This window comes from Homo sapiens, chromosome 4 (genome assembly GCF_000001405.40).
Source record: "Homo sapiens chromosome 4, GRCh38.p14 Primary Assembly".
Classification (NCBI taxonomy): Eukaryota; Metazoa; Chordata; class Mammalia; order Primates; family Hominidae; genus Homo; species Homo sapiens.
The window spans coordinates 127460833-127475545 of NC_000004.12; the positions used below are offsets into that span (position 1 = coordinate 127460833).

At 41.2% G+C, this 14713-nt stretch overlaps 1 long non-coding RNA gene across 1 annotated transcript in view; it reads right to left on the reverse strand.

Moving 5' to 3' along the window:
• LOC102724210 (uncharacterized) overlaps positions 1-9723 on the reverse strand; it is a 396780-nt gene extending 387057 nt beyond the window's left edge. The window contains exon 1 of the long non-coding RNA XR_001741824.3: positions 9603-9723. This is a non-coding gene — a long non-coding RNA (uncharacterized LOC102724210). The remainder of the gene's footprint in view (positions 1-9602) is intronic.
• Between the last annotated feature and the right edge of the window lie 4990 nt (positions 9724-14713).

A 14713-nucleotide genomic window follows, 5' to 3' on the forward strand; every position in this document is an offset into this window, starting at 1 on the left:
TCAACTTCTTCCTGGTTTAGTCTTGAGTGTGTATGTGTCCAGGAATTTATCCATTTCTTCTAGATTTTCTAGTTTACTTGCTTAGAGGTGTTTATAGTATTCTCTGATGGTAGTTTCTACTTCTCTGGGATCGGTGGTGATATCCACTTTATCATTTTTTATTGCATCCATTTGATTCTTCTCTCTTTTCTTCTTTATTAGTCTGGCTAGCAGTCCATTTTGTTGATCTTTTCAAAAAACCCAGCTCCTGAATTCATTGCTTTTTTTTGACAGGTTCTTTTGTGTCTCTGTCTCCTTCAGTTTTGCTCTGATCTTAGTTATTTCTTGTCTTCTGCTAACTTTTGAATTTGTTTGCTCTTGCTTCTATAGTTCTTTTAATTGTGATGTTAGGGTGTCAATTTTAGATCTTTCTTGCTTTCTCTTTTGGGCATTCAGTGCTATAAATTTCCCTCTACACGCTGCTTTAAATGTGTCCCAGAGATTCTGGTACATTGCGTCTTTGTTCTCATTGGTTTCAAAGAACATCTTTCTTTCTGCCTTTATTTCGTTATTTACCCAGTAGTCATTCAGGAGCAGGTTGCTCAGTTTCCATGTAGTTGTGTGGTTTTGAGAGAGTTTCTTAATACTGAGCTCTAGTTTGATTGCACTGTGGTCTGAGAGACTGTTTGTTGTGATTTCTGTTCTTTTGCATTTGCTGAGGAGTGTTTTACTTCCAATTATGTGGTCAATTTTAGATTAAGTGCAATGTGCTGCTGAGAAGAATGTATATTCTGTAGATTTGGGGTGGAGAGTTCTATAGATGTCTATTTGGTCTGCTTGGTCCAGAGGTGAGTTCAAGTCCTGGATATCCTTGTTAATTTTCTGTCTCGTTGATCTGTCTAGTATTGACAGTTGGGTGCTAAAGTCTGCCACTATTATTGTGTGGGAGTCTAGGTCTCTTTGTAGGTCTCTAAGAACTTGCTTTATGAATCTGGGTGCTCCTGTATTGAGTGCATATATATTTAGGATAGTTAGCTCTTCTTGTTGCATTGATCCCTTTACCATTATGTAATGCTCTTCTTTGTCTCTTATGATTTTGTTTGTTTAAAGTCTGTTTTATCAGAGACTAGGATTGTGACCCTTGCTTTTTTTTGCTTTCCATTTGCTTGATAAATATTCTTCCATTCCTTTATTTTGAGCCTATGTATGTCTTCGCATGTGAAATGGGTCTTCTGAATATAGCACACCAATGGGTCTTGATTCTTTATCCAATTTGCCAGTCAGTGTCTTTTAATTGGGCATTTAGCCCCTCTACATTTAAGGTTAATATTGTTATGTGTGAATTTGATCCTGTCATTATGATGCTAGCTGGTTATTTCGCCCATTAGTTGATTCAGTTTCTTCATAGCAACGATGGTCTTTACTGTTTGGCATGTTTTTGCAGTGGCTGGTACCAGTTGTTCCTTTCCATGTTTATTGCTTTCTTCAGGAGCTCTTGTAAGGCAGGCCTGGTAGTGACAAAATCTCTCAGCATTTGCTTGTCTGTAAAAATCCTTTACAGGCAAGCAAAATCCTTTCTCCTTCGCTTATGAAGCTTAATTTGGCTGGATATGAAATTCTGGGTTGAAAATTATTTTCTTTAAGAATGTTGAATATTGGCTCCCACTCTCTTCTGGCTTGTAAGGTTTCTGCCAAGAGATCCACTATTAGTCTGATGGGCTTCCCTTGGTGAGTAACCCAACCTATCTCTCTGGCTGCCCTTAACATTTTTTCCTTCATTTCAACTTTGGTGAATCTGAGGATTATGTGTCTTGGCATTGCTCTTCTCGAGGAGTATCTTTGTGGTGCTCTCTGTATTTCCTGAATTTGAATGTTGGCCTGCCTTGCTAGGTTGGGGAAGTTTTCCTGGATAATATTCTGAAGAGTATTTTCCAACTTGGTTCCATTCTCCCTGTCACTTTCAGGTACACCAATCAAATGTCAATTTGGTCTTTTCACATAGTCCCATATTTCTTGGAGGCTTTGCTCGTTTCTTTTCACTCTTTTTTCTCTAATCTTATCTTCTTGCTTTATTTCATTGAATTGATCTTCAGTCTCTAATATCCTTTCTTCCGCTTGATCTGTTCAGCTATTGATACTTGTGTATGCTTCATGAAGTTCTCGTGCTGTGTTTTTCAGCTCCATCAGGTCATTTATGTTCTTCTCTAAATTGGTTATTCTAGTTAGCAATTTGTCTAACCTTTTTTCAAGGTTCTTAGCTTCCTTGCATTGGGTTAGAACATGCTCCTTTAGCTCGGAGGAGTTTTTTATTACCCACCTTCTGAAACCTACTTCTGTCAATTCATCAAACTCATTCTCCATCCAGTTTTGTTCCCTTGCTGGTGAGGAGTTGTGATCCTTTGGAGGAGAAGACACATTCTGGTTTTTGGAATTTTCAGCTTTTTTGTGCTAGTTTCTCCCCATCTTCATGGATTTATCTACCTTTGGTCTTTGATGTTGGTGACCTTCAGATGGGGTCTCTGACTGGATGTCCTTTTTGTTAATGTTGATACTATTCCTTTCTGTTTGTTAGTTTTCCTTCTAACAGTCAGGCCACTCTGCTGTAGGTCTGCTGGAGTTTGCTGGAGGTCCACTGCAGACCCTGTTTGCCTGGGTATCACCAGTGGAGGCTGCAGAACAGCAAAGATTGCTGCCTGATCCTTCCTCTGGAAGCTTCATCCCAGAGGGGCACCTGGCAGATGCCAGCCAGAGCTCTCCTGTAGGAGGTGTCTGTCAACCCCTACTGGGAGGTGTCTCCCAGTCAGGATACATGGGGGTCAGTGACCCACTTGAGGGGACAATCTGTCCCTTATCAGACCTCAGACGCTGTGCTGGGAGACCCGCTGCTCTCTTCAGAGCTGTCAGGTAGGAATGTTTAAGTCTGCTGAAGCTGCACCCACAGCCACCCCTTCCCCCAGGTGCTCTGTCCCAGGGAGATGGGAGTTTTATTTATAAGTCCCTGACTGGGGCTGCCGCCTTTTTTTCAGAGATGCCCTGCCCAGAGAGGAGGAATCTAGAGACGTAGTCTGGCCACAGTGGCCTTGCTGAGCTGCAGTGGGCTCCAGCCAGTTCAAACTTCCCAGTGACTTTGTTTACACTGTGAGGGTAAAAACCACCTACTCAAGCCTCAGCAATGGCAGACGCCCCTCCCCCAACCAAGCTTGAGTGTCCGAGGTCGACCTCAGACTGCTGTGCTAACAGCAAGAATTTCAAGCCAGTGGATCTTAGCTTGCTGGGCTCCATGGGGGGTGGGACCCGCTGAGCCAGACCACTTGACTCCCTGGCTTCAGCCCCCTTTCCACAGGAGTGAATGGTTCTGTCTCTCTGGCGTTCCAGGTGTCACTGGGGTATGAAAAAAAAAAAATCCTGCTGCTAGCTCCGTGTCTGCCCAAACAGCTACCCAGTTTTGTGCTTGAAATCCAGGGCCCTGGTGGCATAGGCACCAGAGGGAATCTCCTGGTCTGCCAGTTGCGAAGACCATGGGAAAAGTGCAGTATCTGAGCCGGAGTGCACCATTCCTCCCAGTACAGTCTCTCATGGCTTCCCTTGGCTGGGGAAGGGAAATCCCCTGACCCCTTGCACTTCCCGGGTAAAACGACACCCTACCCTGCTTTGGCTAGCCCTCCAGGGGCTGCACTCACTGTCCAACCAGTCCCAGTGAGATGAACCAGGTACCTCAGTTGGAAATGCAGAAATCACCTGCCTTCTGCATCGATCTCGCTGGGAGCTGCAGATTGGAGCTGTTCCTATTCAGCCATCTTGCCAGCAAAAAAAAAAAAAAAAAAAAAAAAAAAAGGACGTTAAGTCCTAAATGGAAAATAGGTGTTCAACATATGCACCAAGGGAAAATGACATTCCAAGCAAAGAAACTGAATAAAAGCAAAGAGGTACGACATAACATGCTACTTTCAAGATCCTCAAGTAGTTCCGTGTGACTACACCATAGAATACAAAGAAGGTAAAGCATGAGATGATATGAGAGAGGGAAGATGCAGCTCATGGAGGACCACAATGATAAGTGTTTACCATATCACATAATTAGAAGCCATTGAAAGGCGACAATAAACATGATCACATCTTAGAAAGATTTATCTGGTAGTGGTACTGAGGAGTCACTGAAGCAATACAATATAAGATAAAATGGTTAAAAGAGTCCAGGCCAAGTGTTGATGGGCTGAACTATACACCCAGCGTAGAGGGGATGGAGAAGAGGGGGACTTATCAGTGATCTTCACAAAGGAGGATCACTTGGTCCTGTTACTATGTATGACCTTGGTTCAGACATGGCTTTCCCACCTACCAACTGCATGACCTTAAATAATATACATAACTCTCAACTGGAAAGTTTCCCTGACTGTAAAATAAAAATAGTAATAGTTTCTAATTCATAGAGTTGTTATAAGGATTTGATATTACAGACTCTAAAGCAACTCCATCTTAGATGTTAATCTGTCATATTGACTTCTGATTAACCCCAGTATGGTGATTGCTTCTAAGGTTTCTACTTTCATGTATTTACCATAAATTTTGCCCTTAGTTCAAAACAATCATATTATTGTTGTTAAAAGAAAAACTTTAGACTAATTAAACTTAACAGTTTAATTAAGCAAAGCACGATTTGCAAATCAGGCACCTCCTGAACTAGAATAGTTTCAGAGAAGCTCTGGTGTAGCTGCCTGGTCAAAGATATATGGACAGAAAATGGAAAGTGACATACAGAAAACAGAAGTGAAGTACAGAAACAGCCAGATTGGTTACAGTTCAGCATTTGCCTTATTTGAACAGCTGGTCGCCTTTGATGGACCAAAACTCAGTGATTGGCACAGGAATAGGTTATAGCCTGTTAACACATCCAGTTAGGCTACAGTTCACCGTGTAGGAAGAGAACTTGAGGTTCAACTTAATATACATAAGAAGACTGTTTTACGTTAAACTTAATTTAGCATTATAAATCACATACTTGCCATAAAGCCTGCACTTAGGCAAATTCCCTATGCTATATAAGCCCTGGGTTTGGGAAATAAATGGGGAAGGGATCCACCATCTCCTCTCCCAACTGCCCAAGACACAGCTTCTGTTTGTAAGTCCCTATTAATTATTTCTTTCTGAGAACCTGGATTTGTCAGTCTCTTTCTTTGGCTTAGCTTCTTTGGCCTTTTGCTGGTAGGTTTGCATAGAACAGATCTGTTCACCATGGAACAGATGAGTTAATGCAATATACTAATATGTTAAATGCCTATCACAGTGTCAGACCAATATTTTTATCATCATTAACATCAAGGAAATGAGGAGAAAACTGGTCCCGGGTTTCTGTTTTTGTTATCTGGAGATAAGTGTTTATGGAGATAAAATAGAAATTGAGTAGAATGGCAAGTTCTGGACATGTTAAGTACCTGGTACATATTAGGTCCTCAATAAAAATCCATTGAGTGAATGAATAAATTAATGCATGCCATGTCTACGGGACAACTGAAAGAAGATCTCTGCTCACATGTATCAGAAATTCAGGAGGTGGCCCTGGACTACAACTGTAAATCTTGGAGTCACTAGTGTTCAGATATTCTTTGAAACTATATGACTGACTTCAATCAAGTAAAGCATGAGGACAGATGAAGAACAAGGGAAGAAAAAGAAAGCAACATTTTTAAGACAAGACAGAGGGGAGTCAAAAAAGCATTCTGATAGTTATTTACCATTTGCCATATTTATCGTTTAGCAAAGGAAACTTATTTGTAACTTGTGATATTTATATCAAATAGCACAAGACTTTTTTGAACATTGTCATAACCTTCATGTAATAGTATGTGCCAAGATTATAAAGGGGAAAAAAGACAATAAAACCTGTAAGACAAAAGGAAGCCTCCCTTTTCCCTTCCCTTTACTGGAATTTTTATGAAAACACTTCTTTTTTAAGTTCTGAGAGTATATATCCCAGATACTTGGTTAAATATAACAGACACATATGATAGATAAGGGGGAAAGGAGGGTAGTATTTCTCCTATTAAAAATTGGAAAGGGAGATACTGGCTAATGCAAATGCTGAATACCAAATATGTTTCAAGGGCTTCAGGACATTTCCTATTTTCATGGCTAATTTATTAATCTCTAATAGCCATATGCTCTTCAAACACAATATTCCATAAATATGACTCCTTTCAAACGTGATTTTTTCAGTCATACCAATGAATAATAAAAGAGAAATGGCTGTATATTGAGTACCCCTTGGTCTGTAAAACAAAGACTTTCAGTCCACACACGGGGTAAATGTCCACCACAGAGAGAGAGAAAGGGAGAAAACGAGACTCAAAATAATTTAATAATAATAATAATAATAATTTGCATTATCTTTCCTCTGGCAAAATTTATACAATACTTAATAAGCCTCATTATTATTTCCTTTTCTTCTCAATTTGCATTAAACTTGCAAGGATAATGTGGAAAAATTATACTAGTTAAAGCCTAGCTCCAGGCCACAAGGTTTTTTTTGTTTTTTTTTTTGAAACGGAGTTTCACTCTTGCTGCCCAGGCTGCAGTGCAATGGCGCAATCTCGACTCACCACAACCTCTGCCTCCCAGGTTCAAGCGATTCTCCTCCCTCCACCTCCCGGGTAGCTGGGATTACAGGCATGCACCACTCCACACCCAGCAAATTTTGTATTTTTAATAGAGACGGAGTTTCTCCGTGTTGGTCAGGCTGGTCTCAAACTCCCGACTTCAGGTGATCCGCCAGCCTCAGCCTCCCAAAATGATGGGATTACAGGCATAAGCCACCGCACTCACAGGCCACAAAGTTTTTAAGAACAATTCTCTTCACTTAGGAGCTGACAGGAAATCTCCAAAGATGCTGTACACTGTTCTGGAGGAAAAACAGTGGATTGTGTAACCTAGATCCAAATACCTCTTCTTTTGTTTTTTTTTTTTGGAGATGGAGTCTCGCTCTGTCACCCAGGCTGGAGTACAGTGGCGAGGTCTTGGCTCGCTGCAACCTCTGCCTCTGAGTTCAAGTGATCCTCCTGTCTCAGCCTCCTGAGTAGCTGGGATTACAGGCACACACCACCATGGTGGGCTAATTTTTGTATTTTAGTAGATATGGGGTTTCACCAAGTTACCCAGGCTGGTCTCGAACTCCTGAGCTCAGGCAATCCGCCCACCTCAGCCTCCCAAAGTGCTAGGATTACAGGTGTGACCCACAGCACCTGGCCTCCAAACACCTCTTTTTAAATGCATGTACAGATATCAAATGATATAGAAGAAAAATGTGTTTTTCTAAAGATGAAAGTTACCATTAATCTTAACTTTCCTTCTCACATTATTATAATTCTTAGGGTTTTTTTTTTTTAACACATGGTTCTTTACATTTACAATATATTGCATAATTATTTTTTCCACTTCAACCTGTGATATTATATACATATAAAGCAGCCTCTCCTTTTTTTCCAATTTCTTCTCATAACCTAGCTACCATTATAAAGGTCCTATCTTTGCATGGGAGAGCCCACAGACCAAGCTGACTTCTATTTCATTTCATAGATATGGCAGTATATCTACTCTTTAAGCAATCATGTGTAGTACTGAATTCAGGCAAAATACATGTGCTTTTCCCCTAATATATAAAACTTAAATTGAGCATAGCCAGATGCTATTTATACTAAGAGTCTTCTCAGCCTAAGCTAAATTAATTCTCTTCCAAGTTCTTTTTATTCAGTGCTCTCAGCCTGGGTACCATGGCTCTAAATTCTTAATTGCCATAAAATAATTGTATTTCCCTTAGCTACGTCTGGAATATGGCTCTCAAAGATGACCTCCAGAATGTAATTTGCTATGTAAGGGCCCAGTCTGAGAATGATTTTACATACTATAACTGAACCTAATAGAATTCACAATAGCATTTCTCCTTTGTCAGGAAAGTAAAAAGGCAAAGATAGGCAGAGGTTAAAATAATATTTCTAAAATAAACCTTTCCTCCTAGTTATTTATCCTTACTTCTTCACATATTCCCAGGAAATATCATTGTCTAAGATTTCAAACCCAAAATCATTTCCCTTCAATATCAGGCAAATTGACAAATTTGAATTGTGCTGGATTTGTTATAGGAAGGGTATACTTTGAGATGGGGGAAGGGGAGGAATATGTTTCCCTTTTTAGTGCCTGCTTCATTCTTTAGAAGTAATTTCAAAATATTCTTATAGATTCTTATTTAAATAATCAAATCAAACCTAAAATATAGAAATTAACTGGAACTCTTCTTAAATAATTACCACTAAAACTAGCCATTTATTCATTCTAGACTCATTTCCTCATCTAGATTAAAGTCAAGGTCAAAAATACAACTACGTTAGTAAAACTCACCTCAAGATTTTAAAATGCTGACTATAGACAGAGACACCAGTCATAGAGAGTAAAGTGCATCTTACATTGAAGACATAGTATAAAAATAAACAGAAATGTTTCGAAAACATAGTAAGAATAAACTTTTCACTAGTAAAATGAGCTGCCTTCTCTACATAGGTGGGGAAAGACAGATTCTTAGCAGAGCGTGTTCTTACAGCTGTGGACATTTCTCATGGTCATGATATGTGAACCCCAACAAAACCACCCTCCCTCTTCTTTTTACCAAGAACATTTATTTATGACTTGGCTGCAAGATTACAGAACACGGTTTGTCATGGTTCTGGAAATTTTTTCCAGTAAGACTGCTCATATTAATTAGTTCTCAAAAATATTCTCAATATATAGAATTACAAGCCACTCTGCCTATTGCTTCCTAATCCCAATTCAATTTATGAATGAGGCACTGATTCACAGATGGAGCAGAATACATACAAGGCAACAGAGTCTCTGAGTACTTAATGGTGGCTGCATTACTAAAAAATCTTCCCAAAATGCAAGCATGACTGAAAAAGAGGAAGCCTGATGTACCCAGGAGAGGTATAAAGGAGACAGTTGTGGCAGTAAAGAGGCCAGAAGAAACATTTGAGAAAAGAAAGGAGGAAGGTGAAGAGTGCAGTCAAGTTTTAGCCACCGAATATGTGAAGCATTGGGAAATTTTTCAAAACAAAGCATAAAGTATAATTGGGACCAAAAATTGCACATACCGTATGACCCCAATTTTGCAATACAATTGTGTACTTTGTGGAAGAAAATACATCAAATATTAATAGGACTTGCGGTTCCCTGCCCCAGATTAAGCTTAACTTTTTCATTCTACTCTTCTGTGTTTTTAAAAATACACTGTGCTTTGTGAAACTGAAAAGTACATACCACACTGAAGTGTTTCGTGAAAATGCGGCTCCTTTCGTAGCTATAACTGATACAACGTGGCTTTCAATGCCCACGCTCAGTGGAGTTAGGAAGAAAAGTAAACCTGTCAGTTAAGGTCACTCCTGTTTTTCCTGATGTAACACACACACTCCTAGGTTAGAGTAACTTCTGGGTAATCGTGGGCACCTTGGGGTACTGGCCGAGTCTTCGAGAGAATCAGCAGGTGACATACCCCTCTCTTGGGCCTCCTAGACAGCACTCGGCCGCCATCTCCGGCCTTGATCTCTGTGCTCAGGAATCCACCACTGTCGTGCTGGGCTCACCTGGCTTTTGGGCCCCAGCAGGGTCCCCCGAGGTGCAACACGAGACTTCTAGGGTGTCCTTTATGCACTGGATTGCCAGTCCCAAACTGAACCCCACCATTCCCAGGCTCCCCCGCACCCCGCGAGCCCTCAGCTAATCCCCTACCTCGGACCTGCGCAGTGTCAGCTCTGCGCAGCATGGGCTCTGCAATGTGCCTTGGCAGCACCGAGGTCCGCTCCTCTGGGAGGTGCCCCACGTGATCAGTGAGCCTGCGCAGCACGGTCTTTCCAGTGCCTGAGCCGCCTCACGCAAATCCTGCCGGGGTGTAAATTCCTTCCAAGTCCATTAATGAGGCTTCTTGGTTCCCCTCCTCGACGTCAGGCTTTCCCCTGTAATGTGGTCCAAAATCCCTCCACTTTTTATCACCTATGCCACCTGCCGAGGTTTGCCCCTTTGGGAGAAGCCTGGACAAGCTTGTCTGACCATTCGCTTTGCTTACGTGGTCTTACCTAGGCTTCCTTACAACCATTTTCCTCCTCCCCAGGTAGTGTTTCCTTCTCAGCAATCATAATGGTGGACTGGCTGCAAGGAAACTAGTTTGGGGGTTTGAAAAAACAGGTGTTTAATATTTTAAGAGACCCCCATCACATATATTCTACTTCCATAATCCCATCCCCAAAATATTATTTTTTAAGTGTAATGAAGGAAAACCTGGAGTCATTCTGAAAGTCACTGACATCCAAGTTATTCTCAGTTACTGCCTGCAAGATAACTTTCCTGGAAATATGTTCCATTTTGGATTTTCAAAGAACACTTTGCTAGTCCTGCTTAGGCCAATAGAGTATGACGAAGACCTCTGTGTACCCAATAATGTATAGGAAGTGCTTAGCCTGCATACATATTGATAATAATGTTAGCTATTATTACCATGTTGCAGAAAGGGGGCAGAAGCAGGTTTTATCTGATTGCCAAAGTAGGAAAAGAATTGATATTTAAAGTAGTGAGCCCCATATCTGCATGGGACCATTAAGAGGTAAACAGGCCACTAATACCAGAGGCAATTTCAGTGCTAACTCAGTCTAGGAGACAAAGAGCACAGCCATCCTCGCCCTTATTTCACTTTCCATCAGTCATACTGTAATACTGATATAGAGGGGATGACTTGCCACCACTGTTAAAAATCTTCTACCTTACAGTGAAAGGAATGAACCTTTCAGATACAGAAACATGACTTGAACCCAACATATGTACAGTAAGATGGTATATTGCAAGGTTTGGATATTTTTAGAAAATGTCACTCTAGAAAAAAAGATAGTAAATGTACACACAGTTGGAGACATAGAGCCCTACAGCCTGTTAGATTAATTATTGAGAGAAAGAAGGAAGGGAGGAATTAAATAATCTAGCCAACATAAACTCTGAATTCCGGGAATGAGGGAACAGAGCAGGTGAACCGTTGTGGAAGATGAATTTGGTTAGTAAGTAAAAAAATCAATCCATCTGGATGACTGATTTGCTGATTTTTTTAAGGGAGGGGTTCTCCCTATGTTGGCCAATCTAGACTCAAATTTCTGGGTTCAAGGTCCTCCCAACACTCCTGCCTCAGCCTCCCATGTAACCAGGACTACAGTGATTTTTTATAGATTGGCTTCCAGAGAGGAGGAGGAGGAGAAATTAAGAGTCTTTTTATCTTACCTTTTTTTTTTTAAGGGAAGAACCCAGCATTGGGTTGTTAAAAACTTTATAAGACCCCTCCTCAATTAAACCAACTCCACTTAATAAGGCTAGAGCAAACTCAAACTTAATGATTCGCAGATATCTTTCCTCAACGATCTACTACAAATACCAAATATATAAAAGAGAAAATTTGGTAAATCATTTGCCAGTTTAACAAATTAAAACCAGCAACTACCACCTTCAAATGTTCTTGGGTTTTTATGTTGTGTAAATGGAAATCATAGTTTAAATTATTGTTAAAGATGCTACTTGATACACTACTCAGTATGTGAGTCCTTCAGGAAGTTATTTTGAAAGGTAAAACAATTCTGTTAACCAGTTTTCCTAACTTGAACCCAGGCTTAGCAGTCAAGTGGAAAATATCATCATGGGCTCAAGAAGAGTTTTCTTTTTAGCACAATATTTAACAGAGTAAAAATAAGTATGTTATTGAAGCTATTTCAGGTACATTCTAAAGTACATGCTAAAGGCCCAGGTCACTTTGTGGGGGAAGAATCTATTATATAATGGTTAACAGTGCTTTAAAATCACTATAATGTGGAGCCAAAATGGCCGAATAGAAACAGCTCCAGTCTACAGCTCCCAGCGTGAGCGACACAGAAGACAAATGATATCTGCATTTCCAACTGAGGTACCGGGTGCATTTCACTGGGGATTGTCAGAGAGTGGGTGCAGGACAGTGGGTGCAGCACACCCAGCATGAGCTGAAGCAGGGCGAGGCATCGCCTCACCCGGGAAGCGCAAGGGGTCAGGGAATTCCATTTCCTAGCCAAGGAAAGGGGTGACAGATGGCACCTGGAAAATTGGGACACTCCCACACTAATACCGTGCTTTTCCAACAGTCTTAGCAAATGGCACACCAGGAGATTATATCCCGCACATGGCTCGGAGGGTCCTACGCCCACGGAGCTTTGCTCATTGCTAGGACAGCAATCTGAGATCAAACTGCAAGGCGGCAGTGAGGCTTGGGGAGGGGCACCCACCATTGCCGAGGCTTGAATAGGTAAACAAAGCAGATGGGAAGGTTGAACTGGGTGGAGCCCACCACAGCTCAAGGAGGCCTGCCTGCCTCTGTAGGCTCCACCTCTGGGGGCAGGGCATAGCCAAACAAAAGGCAGCAGAAACCTCTGCAGACTTAAATGTCCCTGTCTGACAGCTTTGAAGAGAGTAGTGGTTCTCCCAGCATGCAGCTTGAGATCTGAGAATGGACAGACTGCCTCCTCAAGTGGGTCCCTGACCCCCAAGTAGCCTAACTGGGAGGCACCCCCCAGTAAGGGCAGACTGACACCTCACATGGCCGGGTACTCCTCTGAGACAAAACTTCCAGAGGAATGATCAGGCAGCAACATTGGCTGTTCACAAATATCCACTGTTCTGCAGCCACTACTTCTGATACCCAGGCAAACAGGGTCTGAAGTGGACCTCCGGCAAACTCCAACAGACCTGCAGCTGAGGGTCCTGACTGTTAGAAGGAATACTAACAAACAGGACATCCACACCAAAACCCCATCTGCATGTCTCCATCATCAAAGACCAAAGGTAGATTAAACCACAAAGTTGGGGTAAAAACAGAGCAGAAAAACTGAAAATTCTAAAATTCAGAGTGCCTCTCCTCCTCCAAAGGAACGCAGCTCCTCACCAGCAACAGAACAAAGCTGGACGGAGAATGACTTTGACAAGTTGAGAGGAGAAGGCTTCAGACGATCAAACTACTCCGAGCTAAAGGAGGAAGTTTGAACCCATGGCAAACAAGTTAAAAACCTTGCATAAAGATTAGACGAATGGCTAACTAACATAACCAATGCAGAGAAGTCCTTAAAGGACCTGATGGAGCTCAAAACCATGGCACGAGAACTACGTGACGAATGTACAAACCTCAGTAGCCAATTTGATCAACTGGAAGAAAGGGTATCAGTGATGGAAGATCAAATAAATGAATTGAAGCGAGAAGAGAGGTTTAGAGAAAAAATAATAAAAAGAAAAGAACAAAGCCTCCAAGAAATATGGGACTATGTGAAAAGACCAAGTCTACATCTGATTGGTGTACCTGAAAGTGACGGGGAGAATGGAACCAAGTTGGAAAACACTCTGCAGGATATTATCCAGGAGAACTTCCCCAATCTAGCAAGGCAGGCCAATATTCAAATTCAGGAAATACAGAGAATGCCACAAAGATACTCCTCGAGAAGAGCAACTCCAAGACACATAATTGTCAGATTCACCAAAGTTGAAATGAAGGAAAAAATGTTAAGGGCAGCCAGAGAGAAAGGTCGGGTTACCCTCAAAGGGAAGCCCATCAGACTAACAGCTGATCTCTCAGCAGAAACTCTACAAGCCAGAAGAGAGTGGGAGCCAGTATTCAACATTCTTAAAGAAAAGAATTTTCAACCCAGAATTTCATATCCAGCCAAACTAAGCTTCATAAGTAAAGGAGAAATAAAATACTTTACAGACGAGCAAATGCTGAGAGATTTTATCACCACCAGGCCTGCCCTAAAAGAGCTCCTGAAGGAAGCACTAAACATAGAAAGGAACGACCAGTACCAGCCACTGCAAAAACATGCCAAATTGTAAAGACTATTGAGTCTAGGAAGAAACTGCATCAACTAATGAGCAAAATAACCAGCTAACATCATAATGACAGGATCAAATTCACACATAACAATATTAACCTTAAATGTAAATGGGCTAAATGCTCCAATTAAAAGACACAGACTGGCAAATTGGATAAAGAGTCAAGACCCATCAGTGTGCTGTATTCAGGAAACCCATCTCGTTTGCAGAGACACACATAGGCTCAAAATAAAAGGATGGAGGAAGATCTACCAAGCAAATGGAAAACAAAAAAAGACAGGGGTTGCAATCCTAGTCTCTGATAAAACAGACTTTAAACCAACAAAGATCAAAAGAGACAAAGAAGGCCATTACGTAATGGTAAAGGGATCAATTCAACAAGAAGAGCTAACTATCCTAAATATATATGTACCCAATATAGGAGCACCCAGATTCATAAAGCAAGTCCTTAGAGACCTACAAAGAGACTTAGACTCCCACACAATAATAATGGCAGACTTTAACACCCACTGTCAACATTAGACAGATCAATGAGACAGAAAGTTAACAAGGATATCCAGGAATTGAACTCAGCTCTGCACCAAGCAGACCTAATAGACATCTACAGAACTCTTCACCCCAAATCAACAGAATATACATTCTTTTCAGCACCACACCACACCTATTCCAAAATTGACCACATAGTTGGAAGTAAAGCACTCCCCAGCAAATGTAAAAGAACAGAAATTATAACAAACTGTCTCTCAGACCACAGTGCAAACTAGAGCTCAGGATTAAGAAACTCACTCAAAACCGCTCAACTACATGGAAACTGAACAAC